We start from the raw sequence: 23,118 nt of genomic DNA on the forward strand, positions 1-23,118 counted from the left end.
TTAAAGACCCAATCAAAGCAGATCAACAGGGAAGGGCTGTGAGCCCTACTCCTCCAAAAGATAATTGCATGCCAATATGACTGCCAGAGTCAAGGAAGGAGCTGGAGGAGAACGTATGGTTTCAATGAGAGGAAATTGGCATCATCCACCTATTAAAGCTCTTTTAGGAGGCACATATGCATAGGGACAAAAGCTCATGAATGGCATCTATTTAGATTTGCAAAAAGCCTTTCACAAAGCTCCACACAAAAGACTGTTTTAAAAATTGAATCATCATGGTATGATGGAGACTGGTGCAATGCATGAGGAAGTTGCTTAGAGACAAGAAACAATGGTTCAGGAAAAGGCACTTCTTGGAGGAAGGAGTGTAAACATTGGCATTCCCCTATGAGTATCCTTGTTTACTATTTTTATGAATTATTGAAGGTGGGTAGGTACAGTGACATTAAGTTCTTCTGATCATGAAAATCCCCACTATATGAGAATAACCTAAAGTTAGTGTGAGGCTATGTGAATAGGCAGAAAATATTGCACACATCAGCAAAAAGAAGATACTGAATTTAGGGAAAAATCATCTAACTTATACTTAGAAGATCCATAGGCCAGGCGGGGTGGCTCACACCAGTAGTCCCAGCACTTTGGGAGGCTGAGGTGAGAGGATCGTTTAAGCCTAGGAGTTCAAGACCAGCCTGGGCAACATGGCAAAACCCCATCTCAGCAAAAATACAAAAATTAGCCGGGCATGGTAGAATGTGCCTGTTGCCTTAGCTACTTGGGAGGCTAAGGTGGGAAGATTGCCTGAGCCCTGGAAGGTCAAGGCTGCAGTGAACCAAAGTTGTACCACTGCACTTCAGCCTGGGCTACAGAGTGAGACCCTATCTTTATTTTTTTATTTTTTTATTTTTTTATTTTTTAGTATTTATTGATCATTCTTGGGTGTTTCTCGGAGAGGGGGATTTGGCAGGGTCATAGGACAATAGTGGAGGGAAGGTCAGCAGATAAACATGTGAACAAGGGTCTCTGGTTTTCCTAGGCAGAGGACCCTGCGGCCTTCCGCAGTGTTTGCGTCCCTGGGTACTTGAGATTAGGGAGTGGTGATGACTCTTAAGGAGCCTGCTGCCTTCAAGCATCTGTTTAACAAAGTACATCTTGCACCGCCCTTAATCCATTTAACCCTGAGTGGACACAGCACATGTTTCAGAGAGCACGAGGTTGGGGGTAAGGTTATAGATTAACAGTATCCCAAGGCAGAAGAATTTTTCTTAGTACAGAACAAAATGGAGTCTCCCATGTCTACTTCTTTCTACACAGACACAGTAACAATCTGATCTCTCTCTTTTCCCCACATTTCCCCCTTTTCTATTCGACAAAACCGCCATCATCATCATGGCCCGTTCTCAATGAGCTGTTGGGTACACCTCCCAGACAGGGTGGCGGCCGGGCAGAGGGGCTCCTCACTTCCCAGACGGAGCGGCCGGGCAGAGGCGCCCCCCACCTCGCAGACGGGGCAGTGGCCGGGCGGAGGCGCCCCCCACCTCCCTCCAGGACGGGGCGGCTGGCCGGGCGGGGGCTGCCCCCCACCTCCCTCCTGCCAGGCGGGGGCTGCCCCCCACCTCCCTCCCAAAATTGCACCACTGCACTTCAGCCTGGGCTACAGAGTGAGACCCTATCTTTAAAAAAAAAAAAAAAATGCCTTTGTTGAGAATCCACTGTGTGACCAGATACTATGTGACATGTTGAGAAGCATTATAATACTTAAGGCATTTCTCTTTGCTCTTGGGGAACTTAAATGGAACAAGAAAGTATTTTCTGTAGTAGTTCACACAATAGGGTGTGAGTTTTCTAAGTGTTAAACTAATAAGGCTGAAAAATATGAATGTACTCAACATATTTAGATACTTTTATAAAAGGCATTGTTATGATGGCTTTATTAAGGGAAGCTAGACTATTTGGGGCTAGATTCATGACATCTGGATATATTAGTCAGGACCACTTTTGTTCCAAATGACAAAAATTAAAACTAACTTAAAAGGTTGGGTGTGGTAGCTCACACCTGTAATCCCAGCACTTTGGGAAGCAGAGGCAAGAGTCTCACTTGAGACCAGGAGTTTGAGGCCATCATAGGCAACACAGTGAGTAGAGACAGGGTCTCTACAAACAAAACAAAACAAACAAACAAAAGCCCAGCCAGGTATGGTAATGCAGACCTGTAGTCCCAGCTACTTTGGTGGGAGGCTGAAGTGGGAGGATCACTTCAGCCTGGGAGGTCGAGGCTGCAGTGAGTTGTGACCACACCACTGCTCTCTAGAGCCTAGGCAACAGAGCAAGACTGATAGATAGATAGATAGATAGATAGATAGATAGATAGATAGATAGATAGATAGATAGGAAGGACAGGCAGACAGAGACTAGATAGATGACAGAGAGACAGATAGATAGATGATAGATAGGTAGATAGATAGATTGATACATCAGTAGATAAAATTTTTAAAATACCAGTTACCAGTTGTGGTAGGCAGCCTCTAAGATGACCCCCTAGCATCCCTGGCTCCTTGTATTAACACCTTTGTATAATCCCCTCCTTTTTTTAACTTTTATTTTAGGTTTGGGGGTAGATACACAGGTTTGTTACATAGGTAAAAACATGTCACAGGGGTTTGTTGTGTATATTATTTCATCACTAGGTGTTAAGCCCAGTACCCAGTAGTTGTCTTTCCTGCTCCTCCCTCCTCCCACCCTCCCTCCCCAAGTAGACCCCAGTGTCTGTTGTTTCCTTCTTTGCCTTCATCACTCTTACCATTTAGCTCCCACTTATAAGTGAGAACATGCAGTATTTGGTTTTCTGTTCCTGAGTTAGTTTACTAATGGTAATAGCCTCCAGCTCCATCGATGTTCCTGCAAAAATGACATGATCTCCTTTTTTATGGCTGCGTAGTATTCCACGTTGTATATGTAGCACATTTTCTTTATCCAATTTGTCATTGTTGGGCCTTTAGGTTGATTCTGTGTCTTTGCTGCAGTGAACATTCACAATCACAAGCGTGTGTCTTTATGGTAGAATGATTTATATTTGTCTGGGTATATAACCAGTAATGGGATTGCTGTGCAATCCCCTTTTTCTACGTGGGTTGAATTGACTGACTTCTAAAGACAAGACTATGACAGAAGTGATGGTTTGTCACTTTTGAGATGAGGTTACAAAATACTGCAGGTTCCGTTTTAGATGCAGTGACTCTTTCTGGCCTTCTCTGGAATCATTCACTCTGGGGAGAGCCAGCCACCTTGTTAGTGAGTCCTGTGGAGAGGCACATGTAAGTGAGCTTGGAAGTGTATTTACTGAGACTGAAAATAACCAGGTATGTGAGCTTAGGAGTGGACCCTCCCCCAGTGTAGTCTTCAGATGAGACTGCAGACCTGGCTGACAGCTTCATTGCAGGCTCATGAGAGACCTAGAGCCTGAGACACCTGGGAAAGCTGTTCCCAGAGTCCTGACCCAAAAACTAAGAGATCATATACATTTTTAAAAATAAGAGACAGGGTCTTACCCTGTCACCTAGGCTGAAGGGCAGTAGCCCGATCATAGCTCACTGCAGCCTTGAACTCCTGGGCTCGAGCGATCCTCCTGCCTCAGCCTCCTGAGTAGCTGGGACAACAGGTGTGTGCCACCACACTGAGCTAATTTTAAAATTTTTCGTAGAGACAGGGTCTCACTACTTTTTGCCCAGGCTCATCTCAAACTCCTGGCCTCAAGCCATCCTCCTGCCTCAGCCTTCCGAAGTGCTGGGATTACAGGTGTAAGACACCACGCCTGGCCTCTAATGGTTTAAAGATCTGAAATGTATCAACACGAAGTAAAGGTTCATGTAAGGACCATATGACTTGTCTCTGAGCTCTGTTTATGCCTTCATGTGTGTGGGTTACCTAAGTACCTTTCTTGATGAAAAGGAAAATATCTCCAAGGGAAAAACAAAGTGGACTACATCCAATATGAAAAAAAAAAATGTCGCCGGGCGCGGTGACTCACGCCTGTAATCCTAGCACTTTGGGAGGCTGAGGCAGGCGGATCACAAAGTCAGGAGATCGAGACCATCCTGGCTAACATGGTGAAACCCCATCTCTACTAAAAATACAAAAAATTAACCGGGTGTGGTAGCTGGCGCCTGTGGTCCCAGCTACTCGGCAGACTGAGGCAGGAGAATGGCGTGAACCCAGGAGGCGGAGCTTGCAGTGAGCCGAGATCGCGCCACTGCACTCCAGCCTGGGCGACAGAGTGAGACTCTGTCTCAAAAAAAAAAAAAAAAGTTTATTAAAGCAAATTTTATTTAAAACCTGTTTTCTCCTTGACAGCAGCTTTACAATAAAATGAGATGTTTTTAAATTTATAAATCACATAATATGGGTATAAATACCAGACTGATGTTCCACCATGAAAAATATAAAATTGTAACCTCTAGAAACCGAGTAGGTAATAGAAATGTTGATTAACTTCAGCTGAAGTGCTCATACCTGCTGCTATTTTCAGGAATTAATAGCTACCCTGGGGCATTTTTAACTTACATACAACATTGAGTGGGATTTTCCTATGATGATTACCCTAATGTTTCAGAAAGTTCTAATTAGCAACTAATTACCATTCCACCTTGTCATCACACACCCTCATGCTGCCGTTGTAACTTTATATCTTCTTCTAATATGACAGAGGGAGGCTGCAATAAGTTCTGAAGGTGCTTTTGATAACTATGTAGCACAGGGAACAATATTACATTCACTGTTACTTCTGTAAGATTTAACTGTATCCAGACCATTCCTGAGCTCAATGTAGAATCAAAATAAAGGCCTTTAAAAATGCCATCCTCGGCCAGGCGCGGTGGCTTACGCCTGTAATCCCAGCACTTTGGGAGGCCGAGGTGGGTGGATCACGAGGTCAGGAGATCGAGACCATCCTGGCTAACATGGTGAAACCCCGTCTCTACTAAAAATACAAAAAATTAGCCGGGCGTGGTGGCAGGCACCTGTAGTCCCAGCTACTCGGGAGGCTGAGGCAGGAGAATGGCGGGAACCCGGGAGGTGGAGCTTGCAGTGAGCCGAGATCAGGCCACTGCACTCCAGCCTGGGCAACAGAGCGAGACTCCATCTCAAAAAAAAAAAAAAAAAAAAGCCATCCTCCCACTTGTAGGCTCCATGTTTTCTCACAAGGGACTGAAAGCAGGGCCCTTTACTTGGAATTCATTGGAATTCAATAAATACTTAGAATTCATTACTACTCATTAACAGTTAACTCATTTGCATGTTGTAAATTCCTTCGTCTTCACTAATTCTCGCTCATATACATAGAAAATTCTGGTTTTTGACCTACAATGACATTTGGTTTAGTTTGTTAATGTTCTTTTCCATCCTTATCTAATTTTCTACTACCGTAGGAGACTGTTTTGAAGCTATTTAGTTTTTGTTGTCCAGTCCTTTGAAGCCTTATGAGGAAAATTGTATGAATGAATATACACATGTTAATTACCACAAACATACATCCTTATTACCTATAGGTTTAGGTAAAACCCAGCGTTTTACCCCCAAGGGTCTGCAATAGTATTTGTGGTGGATGCTTTGCAGAGAGTATAGCACCAGCCTGTAGGACCTGGAGAAGAAATGGAACTGATACTCCCATATCCTCACCCAGAGTCAAGCACCTTGGCACCCCAGGCCTGGGCGGTTGAGATCACCTTGGAGCAGTGGCAAAGCTCATTTGGTGCTTTTATGTGAAAATGGAGTCCTGTGCACCGCCACCTTGATTTTACTTTGGAAAGCCACGGCTTGTATTCTGACTCCAGGGAATTCCACAGAGAAATGGTTAGTTACTATGTGGGGTTATTAGTCAATTTAAGGTAGAAAAGCCTTCTATGTACAATAGCAAAGAAGCCATAAAGGAGCAACTGATAGATTTTACTACCAGAAAAGGTAAAACATCTGCAAGTTAAAACAAAACACCATAAATAGAATTAAAAAGCAAATGAAAATAATGGAAGATATTTGCAAAATATATAAAAAAGGATTATGGTTAATGTTTTTAATAGAGCTCTTTCCAAGCTCTATAAATATAATTAGTTTTCTGATTCTTTTTCCGTTTCTAGAAGCACTCAAAATGGTCCAGCATTTGATATGCCCTTGTAGGCTATCCTACGATATAGCTGCCAATAAGACTAGGGTAGGCCATGTGAGGTGGCTCACACCTGTAATCCCAGCACTTTGGGAGGCCGAGGTGGGAAGATCAATCACTTGAGCCCAAGAATTCAAGACCAGGCTGAGCAACATAGTGAGACCTCGTCTCTACAAAAAATCAAAAAATTAGCCGGATGTGGTGGCATCACCTGAAGTCTCAGCTACTTAAGAGGTGGAGGCGAGAGGATCACTTGAGCCTGGAAGGTAGATGCAGCAAGCTGAGATCGTGCCACTGCACTCCAGCCTGGGCCACAGAGCAAGAACCTGTCTCAAACAAAACAAAACAAAACAAAACAAAAACAAAAAAGACCAGGCTGGCCTGAGCCTCTGGTAATGGAATTGTTTAGCTTTATACCAAGAGGAGTGAGACAGCACCAAAATCTGGGTATGGGATGTGCTCAGGCCGACCAGGAGAGGTTTATGCCATGAGACCTAAAATTCTTAACATGCTGTCTAAAACAAACAAAAGCATGTTAGCAGGGCCCGTGGTGCTTCGATGTGCACTAAATATATCTGTGACAAGATCAGTGTGCTTTTCTTAGTGAGGAGCAGAAAATCACTGTGAAAGCATTGAAGGCTTGGGCAGAGTCACAGAGCTACATTTTTTTTTTGAGACAGAGTCTCGCTCTGTTGCCCAGGCTGGAGTGCAGTGGCACGATCTTGGCTTACTGTAACCTCTGCCTACCAGATTCAAGCGATTCTCCTGCCTCAGCCTCCCGAGTAGCTGGGATTACAGGCATGTGCCACCACGCCCAGCTAATTTTTTGTATTTTTAGTAGAGATGGGGTTTCACCGTGTTAGCCAGAATGGTCTCGATCTCCTGACCTCGTGATCCACCCACCTCTGCCTCTCAAAGTGCTGAAATTACAGGTGTGAGCCACCGCGCCTGGCCCACAAAGCTAAATTTTAAATTGAAGCTTTTTTGAATAATTAAATCAAAAGCCTTATAAAACAATTGTGTTTCTGCCATTACATTATAGGGAAATGGATGGGCATATTTTCACCAAATGTAGATATATAATGGGGTGATCTGACTTGAAATATAGATTATGTGTTGTACAAAGAGTACATTTTGGCCAGATGCATCGCTGTAATCTCAGCACTTTGGGAGGCCAAGGGGAAAGGATCGCTTGAATCAGTAATTTCAGACCAGCCTGGGCAACATAGTGAGACTCCATCTCTACAAAAAATTTAAAAAATTAAAAATTGAAAATAATTCATTTTGGGGGATTATAGGGAAATCAAGGGAGATGGGCAATCCTCCTTTGGAGCAGCTGAACCTGAGGGTCAAATTGAGGCCCTCAGGGTGCCCATTGGGTCAGAGGGGACTGCGCACATGGTATGAATACTAGCTAAGGCCTTGGAGTGCTGTGAAGACTAATGACATTATCTGTGTAAAGTGCTGACCTCAATGACCAGCACACTCACTTATTCAATTATTTATCAAATTTTTATTGAGTGGCTACTGTGTACCAGATACTCTGCCAGGTGCCGGGGGTACTGCAGTGAACAAAACAGACAGCAGTCTCAAACCTCTCAGGGTTTACATTCTCCTAACACACAGTAAACCATCATAAAAGGTAGCCAGCATTATACTATAATACAAAATATGGGAAAACTAAAAACCATGATAGCTTTTTTCACCAGCTAAACTGGCAAAGATTCTGATGAAGATAATCCCTAGCAGGTATGGGCCAAGAGTATAGGCACTTTTTTTTTTTTTTTTGAATTTTTGTTTGAGACAGGGTCTTGCTTTGTCACCCAGGCTGAGTGCAGTGGCGTGATCGTGGCTCACTGTAGACTTGACGTCCCAGGCTCAAGCAATCCCCCCACCTCCTCCTCCCAAGTAGCTGGGACTACAGGTGCATACCAGCATGCCCAGCTCATTTTTTAGTTTTTGTAGAAACGGGTTTTTGCCATATTGCCCAGGCTAATCTCAAACTTCCTGGGCTCAAGCGATCCTCCAGCTTCACCCTCCCAAAGTGCTGGGATTATAGACATGAGCCACCTTGCCCAGGCAAAAATAGGTACTTTACTCTATTTCTGGGGGCAGTGTAAATTGGTGCAAACTTTCTGGAGGGCAGGTTGACAGCATGTATTAAATGCTTTTACTCCCTCAATTCCACTTCTGACTTATTGTAAGGAAATATTCATGGATTACTCAATAATATCTACTTGGGAAGGAAGTTAAGATGCTCAGAGCCGAGCTCCCCAGTTAGACAAGTCTGAGTTCACACTAAAGCGGGTTCTGCCATCTACTTGCAGTGTGACCCTCAGGTGAATTAGGGGCATCAGCACTGCATGATCTTAGGCGAATTGTTCCCAGCCTCCATGCAGCACGCTCCTCATCTGTAACATGGACATGATAATAGCATTTACCTTACAGGGCTATTGTGAGAAGTAAATGAGATAATGTAGAAAACACTTTAGTGTAGTGCCTGATGCATGGTAAGATTTCAATATACTTAAGCAAAAGAAAAAAAAAAGTATATGTTCATCCCAGCAGTATTTACAGTGATAAAAAGTAAAATAGAAAGTACCTAAGTGATTTAAAATAAATACAGAGAAAAAATTCCATACCACCACTAAAAATCATGTTGCAGATGAATAGTTAATGATATGGAAAATGATCACAATATATTGTTAGGTGAAAAAAAATTGATTATAGCCTGGGCACAGTGGCTCATGCCTGTATTCCCAGCACTTTGGGAGGCCAAGGTGGGAGGATTGCTCGAATCCATGAGTTTTAAGACCAGCCTGGGCAACATAGGGAGACCCCCTATCTCTCCAAAAATAATTTTTTTTTTAATTAGCCAGGCATGATGGCACATGCCTGTAGTCCCAGCTACTCTGAAGCAGAGGATTGCTTGAGCTGGGGAGGTAGAGGATGCAGTGAGCCTTGATCACATGGCTACACTCCAGCCTGGGCAATAGAGCAAGACTCCATCTCAAAAAAAATAAAATAACATTTTAAAAGGTGGTTACAAAGAATATGTACAAAACAAGAGAAGTGAAGGACCTCTTCCAGGAGAACTACAAACCACTGCTCAAGGAAACAAACAAATGGAAAAACATTCCATGCTCATGGATAAGAAGAATCAATATGGTGAAAATGGCCATACTGCCCAAAGTAATCTATAGGTTCAATGCTATTCCCATCAAACTACCATTAATATTCTTCACAGAATTAGAAAAAAAGACTTTAAATTTCATATGAAACCAAAAAAGAGCCTGTATAGCCAAGATAATCCTAAGCAAAAAGAACAAAGGTGGAGACATCATGCTACCTGACTTCAAACTATACTACAAGGCTACTGTAACCAAAACAGCATGGTACTGGTACAAAAACAGACACATAGACCAATGGAACAGAATCTGCAACCATCTGATCTTCAACCAACCTGATAAAAACAAGCAGTGAGGAAAGGATTCCCTATTTAATAAATGATGCTGGGAAAACTGGCTAGCCATATGCAGAAAATTGACACTGGACCCCTTTCCTACACCTTATACACAAATGAACTCAAGATGGATTAAAGACTTAAATATAAAACCCAAAACTATAAAAACCCTAAAATAAAATCTAGGCAATACCATTCAGGACATAGGCACAGGCAAAGATTCATGACAAAAACATCAAAAGCAATTGAAACAAAAGCAAAAATTGACAAATGGGATCTAATTAAACTAGCGGGCTTCTGCACAGCAAAAGAAACTACCATCAGAGTGAATAAACATCCTAAGGAATGGGAGAAAAATTTTGCAATCTGTCCAACTGACAAAGGTCTAATATCCAGAATCTATAAGGAACTTAAATAAATGTACAAGTAAAAACCAAACCAAACGACCCCATTAAAAAGTGGTCAAAGGACATGAACAGACACTTCTCAAAAGAAGACATTTATGTGGCCAACAAACATATGAAAAAAAGCTCAATATCACTGATCATTAGAGAAATGCAAATCAAAACCACAATAAGATAGCATCTCACATCAGTCAGATGTGAGTCAAGAAACAACAGATGCTGGTGAGGCTGTGGAGAAATAGGAATGCTTTTACATTGTTGGTGGGAATGTAAATTAGTTCAACCATTTTGGAAGACTGTGGCAATTCCTCAAAGACCTAGAACCAGAAATACTATTTGACCCAACAATCCTATTACTGGGCATATACCTAAAGGTATATAAATCATTCTATTATAAAGATACATGTACACATATGTTCATTGCAGCACTATTCACAATAGCAAAGACATAGGATCAACCCAAATACCCATCAATGATAGACTGGATAAAGAAAACGTGGTACATATACACCGTGGAATACTATACAGCCATAAAAATGAACGAGATCATGTCCTTTGCAGGGACATGGATGAAACTGGAAGCCATTATCCTCAGCAAACTAACACAGCAACAGAAAACCAAACACCGCATGTTCTCACTTATAAGTGGGAGTTGAACAATGAGAACACATGGACACAGGGGGAACAACACACACTGGGGCCTGTTGGCGGGGTGAGGAGGGAGAGCATCAGGATAAATAGCTAATGATGCACGTGGGGCTTAATACCTAGGTGATGGGTGGATGGGTGCAGCAAACCACCATGGCACATGTTTACCTATGTAACAAACCTGCATGTCCTGCACATGTATCCCAGAACTTTAAATTAAATTTAAAAAAAAGAATATGGCCAGGCACGGTGGCTCACGCCTGTAATCCCAACACTTTGGGAGGCCAAGGTGGGTGGATCACCTGAGGTCAGGAGTTCGAGACCAGCCTGGCCAACATGGTGAAACCCCATCTCTACTAAAAATAGAAAAATTAGCTGGGTGTGGTGGTGGGCACCTGTAATCCCAGCTACTCAGGAGGCTGAGGTAGGAGAATCGCTTGACCCTGGGAGGTGGAGGTTGCAGTGAGCCGAGATAGCACCACTGCACTCCAGCCCGGGCAACAGAATAAGACCCTGTCTCAAAAATAAATAAATAAATAAAATAAAAAGAATATGTACAATATCCCAATTTTAGAAAAAAATACAGGAAGGCGCTATACTATGTATTTTCCACAATAAGCATGCATTATTTTGTGCTTTTGTGCTTTATACATATTATTTATAGCAGACGTATATTAGGTTTTGCACGTCCAGCATCAGCCCACTTCCTTCTAACATCCTGGTTTTCTTATGTGGAATAATCCATTCCCCTCTGCCAGAAAGGCGATTTTTGGCTTCCACATCTCATATCCACCTCTCACTTACGGAAGCCACAAGGCTTTGATCCCAGAGGCTGTGCTACAAGAATGGTGGATATTTTGGAGGGCATTGTTAGCATCCTGGCAGCACTGTGGGTGGGGAGTGGGTGGGGTTGGTAATGTGACTCTGCTGACAGTGTCCCATCCTCTGGGACTTCCTTGGTCCTTGCCCTTTCCCAAGCCTGGTCATTGTCCTCCCACTGTGTTCATGAGCCCCTCTTAACCTGTCAATAAATCCTTTTCTGCTTAAGTTAGCCAGAATCTTTTTCTGTTGCACACAACCAAAAACTTTTACTAACAAGTTACTTTTAAAAACTGGAAAATGAATAAAGCAAGCCGTAGCAGCTATGGAGCCATTCTTTGCCGGAATAGTCTAAACCCAGGTGAGCCTGAGATGGCTCAGAGGAAATGCTAAATGACCGGGCTGCAAAATATCTGGTTGGAAACTAGAAAAATGCATTACGTAACTTAAAAACTAATTGTTGAAATTAATTCACTTAAATTGACCATTTTAGATGTTCCTAGATATCCAGTTGTTCAACATGATGTGACAGCTGATGATTGGGTTTTTTTGTTGTTGTTTTTTTGAGAGGCAGTCTCACTGAGTTGCCCAGGCTGGAGTGCAGTGGCGTGATCTCAGCTCACTGCGACCTCCACCTCCCTGGTTCAAACGATTCTCCTGCCTCAGCCTCCCGAGTAGCTGGGACTACAGACACACGCCACCATACTCGACTAATTTTTTTGTATTTTTAGTAGAGATGGGGTTTCACCATGTTGGCCGGGCTAGTCTCAAACTCCTGACCTCAAGTGATCCACCCGCCTCGGCCTCCCAGAGTGCTGGGATTACAGGCGTGAACCACCACACCCAGCCATGATGATTGTTATTCTTTAATCTTTGTGATTTGAACTTATTTAGAATTTAGAATACAATGAGGGAAATGCTAAACTGAAATGGACAAAGACCTTCAGTATAGGCTAATGAACCACACACATACTAACTAGTGGGTACCAACGCTACCCTATATATTGCAGTATGAGACAGTGGACTTTTAGCTATTTACTGTTAAAGCATGACCTCAGGAAAGCAATATGAATTGTAGCTTTGTTGTTATGCCTTAACAATAGCAGGCACCTGCACATATTCATCTACCCTTAACTTGGGTAGCATGACGTAATTTGTTTTCAAAAGATTTTTTTGTGCCATCTGTTATTAAAATGATGATTGCTTTTGATACAAGGTTTGCTAGATATTAGTCACCCACCCTCAGTCCTCATCTTTATATTTCAGGAGTGTCAGCTTCGGAAATCTTGTAGCTCGCCTCCTCAATTACTTTGCCCATTTTCTTCTGACTCTCATGGAGACGATACTCTCCAAATGTGAGTCTGACCCAAGATTTGGACCAGTCTTGACACCTGAAGAACACAGCACATTTAACAGGCAGTTATAATGCAGCTTTCTGGAAACAATTACCTTAAATATGATTTTCACTCATTATACAGCCTTTCATAATTTGCCATCAATGTTGTTAAGAGCTGTAGGAAAATTAAATGTTACACAATTTTACTTTAAATCAGTACTGGCCAGGGGCAAGTGGCTCATATCTGTAATCTCAGTACTTTCAGAGGCCAAGGCAAGAGGATCATTTGAGGCCAGGAGTTGCTCAGCCTGGGCAACATAGTGAGACCCCATCTCTACAAAAAAATACAGAAAAAAAAAATTACCCACCCATGGTGGCACATGCCTGTAGTCCCAGCTACTTGGGAGGCTGAGAGGCAGGAGGATCCTTTGAGCCCAGGAGTTTAAGGTTACAGTGAGTTCAAGGTTACAGTGATTTCACTGCACTCCAGCCTAGGCAACAGAGCAAGACTCTTTCTCTAAAAAATAAGTGAATAAAATCAACACTTCTCACATTTTTATGTGCATGTGAGTCACTGAGGATCTTGATGAAATGCAAATCATGATAGAGTAGCTGTTCTGGATGTCTGTTGCTATATAGCAGATATTCCCAAACAAGTGCCTTAAAACAGCCATTCAAGGATTAATCATTTATTTTGCTCACAAATCTGGAATTTGGGCAGGGTTTGGTGGGGTTGTCTTGTCCCCAAACATGGTTAAATGGGAAAGTTTGATTCGGAAGGTGACTTGATGGCGGGGAACTGAAATCACCTGGAGGCTCATGTACTCTCATTGTGGTTGATGCTGGTTGTTGACTGGGACCCCAGGTGGGGCTCTTGACCACTAAACCCACAGGTATCCTCCCCATGGGGATGCTTGGCTCCTTTACAACGTGGTGCCAGGTTCCACCAAGTATCCCAACTGAGCAAGGTGGCAGTTGCATGGCATTTTTATGACCTTGCCTCAGAAGTCACATAACATCATTTGTGCCATACCCTATTGGGCAAGGCAGTCATAAAGGTCTGCCTGCCTAGGTTTAAGGGGATGTTGACCTCATCATTTAACAGGGGATTGTCAACTTCACAGTGAAAGAAGAGCATCTGGGGAGGAACATATTGTGGCGGCCATATTTGGAAAGTGTCATCTGCCACCGTAGGTCTGGTGGAGCCTGAGATGCCTGAGACTCTTCATTCACTTCTAACTTCCAGGTGACACCAGTGCTGCTCAGAGCCCTTTGAGCAGCGAGGGTCTAGATCACATAATGTAGTCAAATTCTATTACAAAGATTATTTTGGATTGTTTTGGAAGTGGTTAGAATACACATGCATGTATACATGAGTATTATGGATCTTCCTGAAAGATGCCATGTAAGTTTTTCTCATTTTTTGTTTTCATCTTTTTAAAAATTACAACATTCTTTTAGTCTAATCTCATTTACTCTTCTTTCTCCATAATATTGTAGCCATTTTTTTTTTTTTTTGAAGCAGTCTTGCTATGTTGTCCAAGCTGGAGTGCAGTGGCTATTCACAGGCGCAATCCCACTACTGATCAGCACAGGAGTTTTGATCTCTTCCATTTCAGACCTGAGCCAATTCACCCCTCCTGTGGCAACCTGGTGGTCCCCCACTGCCAGGAGGTCACTATATTGATACTGAACTTAGTGCAGATACCTGATTGGCACAGCTCTCTGCAGTCCAGAACTCCTGGGCTCAGGTGATCCTCTGGCCTCAGCCTCCCAAGTAGCTGGGACTACAGGCACGTCGTTGCACCCAGCAATACTGTACCCTTAAAGAAAGAGAACTGCTTCATAAATCTTTGGTTAGATAAACTTGTTTCCAACATATAGCATTTTATACTGCAGAGTTCATAAAATGTATTGACATTGGATTATTGTAATACTGTATTGAATGATTACTGAAATAAATATTGGTCATTGAAAATCACAATCTGTTTCTGAAGGGCAAAATTTGATGATTTTGCAGCCAGTTAGTGTTAAGTGAATTTATCTATATGACATTGATTTTTAAAACCTGGAGAAATTGGTTGATGTAGTATCAACATCACATAGAACCATTAACCACCTCCATGAAATAACAGATGACTTCACAGGACACCCCTTGGAGAATCACAGAGGTTCATTCATTGAACTCATGATTATTGAGTACCCTCAGTGAGCTAGATCTTATGATAAGTTCAAGGGTTACCAAATAAACACGATTCCTGCTCCTTCTAAAAGCTTACTTCTAGAGGGTAGAGTTGGAAGAAGCCAACTATGAACAAGTAAACCAATCAATCATCATTTGTCAAAGTATGGTCCATGGACCTTTGGAGGATGTAAGACCCTTTCAGGGGGATCTGCAAGATCAATATTATTCATGGGTAAAAGATTCAACAAGAGTACAAATGAACAATGGAATTTAATATAAGGGAATACATAGAGTTCATTGATTTGGTTCCAGATTCTACATTGCAACTAGCCTTTCAGAAAGTACTACTGTCAAGTTTTGGTGTAATATCAAAGAAGAATATCCAGTTATTTGAAAAAGCTATGTTTCTCATTTCCAACCACACATCGGTATAAGGCTAAGTTATTCGGATACTTAAACCAAAACAAGATACTGCAACAGACAATACCAAAGCAGATGAGAATTGAGCTTTCTGTTAAACCAGAAATTAAAGAGATTTGCCAAAGTATAAAACAATACTATTCTTTTTGCTTAATTTTGTTTTGGAAAAATATATTTTATTTTACATAAAATATGTACTTATGTTAGCAAATAATGACTTATTATTTAAAAATCAATTAATACTTTTAAATTTTCCCAGCTTTAATTTTGAATATGATAAACATGGACAGATGTAAACCACATCAAGAAAAGCTTTTTAAAGCTGGGCCTAGTGGCATGCAGCTAGTTACTCAGGAGGCCAAGGTGGAAGTGACATAGGAGTTAAGAAGAAATCACTTAGGCAGATAGTAAGGGTATGGGAGTCCTCGGTAAGGCTTTTCTTTTTAATGAAAAGCAGCCCCAAATCATTTTGTAACAAAGAGCAGCCTGTAAGGTTGAGCTGCAGGCAGAGACAAGCAAGCTGGGAGCTTGCACAGGTGAATGCCAGCAGGAACTAGGGGAACAGACAAGTTCAAGATGGCGGCTCCATCTTCCCTTCTCTGCCCATGAGTTCTAGTCCAGCCTGGGCAACATAGTGAGACACCCCCCATCTCTTAAAAAAAAAAAAAAAGAAAAGGAATCTTTTTTAAGATCTCAATAATTTTGAAAAGCAAAAATTTCCCATGGAGTGTTAGTCATTCAAGCTCCTGAGTTGCATCACCTATACTCTTGGGTAGATGTTTAGGATGTCAGATCCCATGCCCAGCTGTGTGGTTTTATCCAAGTCCAAAAGTAGGAGGAGTAGGTAGAAACTCTGGGTATCTGGTTGGCCTGGCTTTGTAGTGGTAGCAAGAGGTGACAGTTTTGCTCTCCCAGAGCAACTGGGCTCAAGTGGTAGAACTATGTGTTAAGCAGGAACAAGAGGCTGAGGGTCTAGGAGGTGGTGGTGCTAAGCAGACTGAGAAGGAATATATCCTTATGTCTGATACCAGTATATCGTGGTCACCTTTCCATGGCAGCACATGAAACAGAAGTATGGCTTTACATTATAAGGCTTTATATTATTACTCTGGCTTTGTATTAAGGATGAACTATAATTTTATATTTCATTTTATGTTATAACTATGGCTTTGTATAAGGGTGAACTATAAATTTTAAAAACTAACCTCTAGTATTCTGCCTTTGGGCTATTTCCAACTCTTTTGCTTTATAAACACTGCTGAAATGATCAGCCAGTGCAACAAATATTAGGAAAATGAACAAGATAATTGCAGTAGTGATTATGCGCTGAAGACCATCACTGGAATGTAAGCTGCATAGAAGTACGGATTTTAGCCTGCTTTGTTCACTGCTGTATCCCCAGCACCTAGCATAGGGCCTGTCATAGAATGTGTGCTCAAGAAAATATTTGTCAAACGTTGAAAGCAAGGTGATGTGATAGTGATTGGCAGGGGATGTTTGGGAAGTCCCTGCATTGAAGCTGAGAATTGAGGAAGGGAAAGTGTTTGGGAAGCTGTAAATGGAGGTTTCCAGGCAGAGGGAAGAGGATGTGCAAAGGCTGTGAGATGGAAGCCTGTTGGCACGTTCGAAAAACAGAAAGGTTTGTGTGCTGGAGGACAGTGAGCAAAGGAGAGAATAAGGGATGAGGGTGGAGGGGAGGGCAGGGTCAGAACAATAGGGCCTTGCCAGTCCTAATCATCATCAACTTCAATTTTACAAGGCGGCTAAAAGCCGTGGTAGAATTCTACCAGGAAAATGACATTATCAACTTACGCTTACTCTAACCACCTCACACCTATTAGGATGGCTGCTATCAAAAAAACAAAAAGTGTTAGCAAGAATGTGGAGAAATTGGAACCCTTATCCCCTGCCAGCAAGAATGTGAAATGATGCAGTCTCTGTGGAAAACAGTATGGCAGTTGCTCAAAAAAGCAAAAATAGAACTACCATATGATCCTGCAATTCCACATCTGTGTATATACCCAAAAGAATGGAAAGCGAGGACTCGAATAGAGATTTGCACTCATAGCGGCATTATTCACAATAGCCAGAAGGTGTAAACAACCCAATGTCCATTGACAGATATATATACAAACAAAATATGGTCTCTCCACACAGTGGAATACTACTGAGCCTTAAGAATAAGAGAATAATTCTGATATGTGCTACGACATATATGAAATTGGAGGACACTATGCTAAGTGAAATAAGGCGGTCACAAAAAGACAAATACTGTATGATTCCACTTACATGAGGTACTTTGAGTAGTCAGACTCACAGAGACAGAAAGTAGAACTTCGTGCCAAACTCATAGAGACCGGGGCTGGAAGGGGCTGTGGAGTTATTGTTTAGTGGGTATAGAGTTTCAGTTTTGCAAAATGGAAACATTCTTGGATGGACGGTGGTGATGGTAGCACAATAATGAAATGCACTTAATGCCACTGAACTGTGCATTAAAAATGGCTAGGAAGGCTTCGCGCACTGGCTCACACCTGTAATCCCAGCACTTTGGGAGGCCGAGGTGGGTGGATCACCTGAGGTCAGGAGTTCGAGACCAGCCTGGCCAACATGGTGAAACCCCGTCTCTACTAAAAATACAAAAATTAGCTGGGCATGGTGGCAGGCGCCTGTAGTCCCAGCTACTTGGAAGGCTGAGGTAAGAGAATTGCTTGAACCCGGGAGGCGGAGGTTGCAGTGAGCCGAGATTGCACCACTGCACTCCAGCCTAGGTGACAGAGCAAGACTCTGTCTCAAAACAAACAAATGAACAAACAAAAAAGATTAGGAAGGTAAATTATATGTTAGGTGTATTTTGTCACAGTGAAAATTTAAAAACAAAAAAGCTTACTCTGAGTATGTTCTAGAGAAAAGTTTGGAAAGGGGCATGGCTGGTTATCGGTCAATATCTTCCCTTCTTCCTAACAGTATCCATTTCCTCCTCTTTCTCTCCTAGCATAGTGGGAAGTTCAAGCATCCACCCCTTCCCCAGATGGCCTTGTGGCCTTGTGCTCCAGGAAAGGATGATTCCAACCTCTTCTTCACGGGAGGTCTCACTGGCCTAGAGCAGTAGTACTTAAAATGTGGGTGAGGGCCAAGCACAGTAGCTCACGCCTGTAATCCCAACACTTGAAGAGGCTGAGAGGGGAGGATCTGTTGACCCCAGGAGCTTGAGACCAGCCTGGGCAACACAAGAGACCCTCTTTCTACAAAAAATACAAAAATTAGCTGGGCGTGGTGGCACATGGCTGTAGTCCCAGCTACTTGGGAGGCTGAGGCAGGAGGATCGCTTGAGCTCAGGAGGTCAAGGCTGCAGTGAACCGTGATTGTGCCACTGCACTCCAGCCTGAATGACACAGTGAGACTCTGCCTCAAGGAAAAAAAAAAAAAACAACCTTGGCTGAACATTCCTGGGGTCTCTGAGATTCATTTCAGGGCTCTGTGAGTTTCTGTTTTGCAATTACATATCCTAATGAGGCTGGGTTTTTAAAATATATATATACTTCTACTAGCAGATTGCAGCAGATTAAATGCCAAAGCAGATATGAGAATCCAGCTGTCTTACATTAAGCCCAATATTAAAGTGATTTGTAAAAGGTAAAGCAATGCTACTCTTCTTCTTAAATGTTTTAATTGTGGAGTATGTTACTATTTTTCATGAAAATGTTACTTATGTGAATATGTAACAGATTTCTCTTCTCTTCTTTTTTCTTTCTGAGACAGAGTCTCGCACTGTTGCCCAGGCTGAAGTGCAGTGGTGTGATCTTGGCTCACTGCAACCTCCGCCTCCCGGGTTCAAGCAATTCTCCTGCCTTGACCTCCCGAGTAGCTGGGATTACAGGTGCCTGCCATCATGCCCAGCTAATTTTTTGTATTTTTAGTAGAGACGGGGTTTCACCATGTTGGCCAGGATGGTCTCAAACTCCTGACCTTGTGATTCACCCGTGTCAGCCTCCCAAAGTGCTAGGATTACAGGTGTGAGCCACTGCGCCTGGCCTAGATTTCTTATTTTTATATCAATAAATATTTCAAAATTTTAGTGATAGATATAACTCATAAAAGCAAAGATTTTTGGGGATCCTCAATATTATTATTTTTTTTTAGGGTCTTGCTGTCACCCAGGCTGGAGCGTAGTAGGTAATCATAGCTCACTGCAGCCTTGACCTCCTGGCATCAATCCTCCTGTCTTGGCCTCCCAAAGTTTTGGAATTACAGGCATGAGCCACCACACCTGGCCCTAATTTTTGAGTCCAAATGGGTCCTCAGATAAAAATATTTGAGGACCACTAGCCTAGAATAATCCCATCCCCTTGTCAGGCATTGGTTTGGGAATTTCCTTGTGGTCCAGTTCTGTCGACTGAGACAGGAGAGGGAATCTGATGGGAAGCTTCTGGGAAAAGTTTTTCCACTCGTAAGACAGAGCCACAGAAAGAGAGACACTCTCTCTCCATCCTCTGGTTACCAATGCATCTGAATGTGATGCGGCCATCTTCCCGCTGGCCTGAGGAAAAACACAGCATAAGCGCTGGCAGTGTTGTTTTCAGATTTCATTATTAGAGTGATTCAGTGAACATCTTTCCACGCAATTGAGCTCTGCACATCTGTGTAGTTTTGGTAGAATAAATTCTTACAATTGGAAGTGTTGGATAATGGGATATACACATTAAAAATTTTAATAAATATTGGCCATGTGCAGTGGCTCACGCCTGTAATCCCAGCATTTTGGGAGGCCGAGGCGGGCAGATCACCTGAGGCTGTGAGTTCGAGACCAGCCTGATGAACATGGAGAAACCCCATCTCTACTAAAAATACAAAAATTAGCCGGTCGTGGTGGTGCATGCCTGTAATCCCAGCTATTTGGGAGGCCAAGGCAGGAGAATCACTTGAACCCAGGAGGCGGAGGTTACAGTGAGCCAAGATCACGCCATTGCACTCCAGCCTGGGCAACAAGAGCAAAACTCCGTCTCAAAAAAAAAAATTTTAATAGATATTGATAAGTTGTCCTCCCAAAAGTTTGTACCACTACAAACTTCCACCAAGTTATTTAACAAGCACTTATATAAAGCTTACTATGTGCTTACTAGACAACTGTTCTAAGCTTTTTACAAACATTTACTAACAGTGTGAGTGCCTGTTTCTCCATACTTTTGCCAACTTATTTTTTATCCCTGCTCATCTGATAAGCAGAAAATACCTATTTCGAGTTGCCTTTTTTTTTTTTTTTTTTTACAATAAGATTGAACATTTAAAACATATTTTCTTTAAATGGTCTATTCATGTCCTTGGTCCATTTTCCTGTGGGGTTTTCATCTTTTTATTCTTTATTTCTAAGAGCCCTGTGTGTATTAAGGATATTAGCCCTTTAATGTCATACATGTGACAAGTAAAGTTTAATAGTCACTTTTTTACAATTCCAGTATCTAAAAAGCTCTGAAAAATTTTTTTTGTAAATGTGGTACAAACTCACTTGATAACATGACCTCAATTGACATTAGGCTGTTTGTATTCTTTGTGTATTCCACTTCATATAAAGAGCTGGAAGAAAAAACTGTTGCTGAATGAAAACTTGTGTTTGATAGAAATACATAAATAACTGCGGTGTTATATACTGTGTATTATCTTTTCTAAAATCTGAAAATTTACAATTTCATAAAACATTTGTCCAAGGTTTTAGGTAAGAGATTGTGACTTTTATTTACCCACACATGTGTCTTTGTTGGTTCACTTTTGGACATGTTGAGTTGTAGATGCCTGTGGAGGCTTCACCTGGATATGGCCTGCATGCAGTTGGATATATGAGTTAGAAATTTATAAGGGAAATTGGGGTTGGAGAAGCAGATTTTAGGTTTATATTTATCAGCATATAGATGAGAGTTAAATTAAAATCACATGGGTGTATGTCAGAAAGCATGTGTTGCCAAAAGAGTGCTCTGAGAACATCAGCGTTTAAGGGGTGAATGAGAGTCTATGATGAGGTAGGAAGTGAGGAAAGCTAATTGTGGAGCAGAAAGGAGGAATCAGACAGAGCAGAGGGGTGATCGATCATTCTGGACTGTGAACAATGACTACAGCTGAAGACAACACAGTAGAGGTTTGCTGGCTGTGAATTCTCCATGGAGCTATTGTCAGGTATTAGAGTGAACTTAGCCTTGTCAGGTGTTGGGGAGGGGCAGGGAAGGGAGATGGAAGGGGATTTGAAGGTTGCCTCTGTGCCCAGGCTCAGGGATCTGGACCTCAACATTCCTTAATAACTAGTCATCAGCCCTCTTAAGAATGGTCTCCAGGATTTTCTCCTGTAAAAGTTCTGTTGAAGGGTCTTGGACAGTTTCCCAGCCCCGTAGATAGATCTCTGTAGGTCCAGTCCTCTAGCAAGTGGTCCAGACCTTGAAATGAACCAGCTACTATAATAAGTGTGAGAAGCAGTTGGTCCTTTGTGCAGATACTGGGCCAGAGGACACAGGAAAGTGGTTTTGACTTCTTTCTGTTTATCCCTTCTGATGGGCCATATGAGGACCCTTGATGGGAGCATTCAGGAACTATTAGTACTTGCCAGTAGCCAGCCACTTTCAAAGGAGACAACTCTGGGACCTCAGGTCTGCCTTAGCCTGCCCGCTGCAAAACATTTACATTTGCTCTCCTGTCTAATAGAAGAAAAATCCATTTTTCATTTTCAATTGAATGTTCTCAGCCTTAAAATGTGGGCCTTTGTTCATTCTAATTCGCCTACATCTGCATAAAACAAAAGTTCATTTTCAGAGCAATGTGGAGGGGGACCATGCACAATTCCAGTTATTGTATAGAAAAGCTATGCGCCTTTTATTCAGAGAGCAAATAATATATCCAGGATGTTGTTGTGGGTGTTCTTCTGTCACTCATACTGGCGATGTCTTGTCTATCTCTCAAGAAACAATGGGCATTTATTTGGGATTGCTTAGATTTAGTAACATTCCTTTTTCATTTCAAATGGCTCTTAACTGTGAAGTGGGGGGAAAATGAGTTAATTTATTGAATATTTTAACTAGTTGTAATAGGTTCTAATTTTACCTACAGTGGAAACAATTGAAAGTTTTTATGTTAACATTATTCTGGCAAGTTAATATGAACTAAAGAACATTAAACAAATATTTCAGTGCAGAGCATGAAACAAATACAGCAAAAGATATTAGCACTTCCAGTTCTGAACTGATTTCCGTGTACATTTCCTTTTAAAAAATTGCTTCTTTTCCAACACTGCTGAACTGTAGCCTTAAAAGTGGTCAAGGCCGGGCGCAGTGGCTCACACCTGTAATCCCAGCACTTTGGGAGTCTGAGGCGGGCGGATTGCCTGAGCTCAGGAGTTCGAAACCACCCTGGACAACATGGTGAAACTCTGTCTCTACTAAAATAAAAAATTAGCCAGGCGTGGTGGCCTGCGCCTATAATCCCAGCTACTCAGGAGGCTGAGGCGGGAGAATCGCTTGAGCCCAGGAGGCAGAGGTTGCAGTGAGCAGAGATTGTGCTGCTGCACTCCAGCTTGGGCAACAGAGTGAGACTCTGAAAAAAAAAAAAAAAGTGGTCACGATGGTAAATTTTATGTTATGTGTAAGACAGGGTCTTGTTCTGTCACCCAGGCTGGACTGCAGTGGCACGATCATAGCTCACTGCAGCCTTGACCTC

The 23,118-nt window shown here is 42.2% G+C and overlaps 2 long non-coding RNA genes and 2 pseudogenes across 2 annotated transcripts in view; 2 read left to right on the forward strand and 2 right to left on the reverse strand.

Moving 5' to 3' along the window:
- The window catches only part of LOC107984219 (uncharacterized), a 97,548-nt gene that overhangs the window by 54,897 nt on the left and 19,533 nt on the right, over window positions 1–23,118 (forward strand). The gene's annotated exons all lie outside the window — the stretch shown is intronic.
- Window positions 3,034–18,847, reverse strand: LOC105376485 (uncharacterized). The gene is made up of 3 exons (XR_930806.3): window positions 14,530–18,847; window positions 12,726–12,876; window positions 3,034–3,295 (listed from the first exon to the last, which is right to left on the reverse strand). It is a non-coding gene; the product is annotated as an uncharacterized LOC105376485 (long non-coding RNA).
- Window positions 6,507–6,807, forward strand: RPL34P19 (ribosomal protein L34 pseudogene 19; annotated as a pseudogene).
- RN7SL825P (RNA, 7SL, cytoplasmic 825, pseudogene) lies at window positions 14,339–14,633 on the reverse strand (annotated as a pseudogene).

This window comes from Homo sapiens, chromosome 10, assembly GCF_000001405.40.
Source record: "Homo sapiens chromosome 10, GRCh38.p14 Primary Assembly".
NCBI classification, from domain to species: Eukaryota; Metazoa; Chordata; class Mammalia; order Primates; family Hominidae; genus Homo; species Homo sapiens.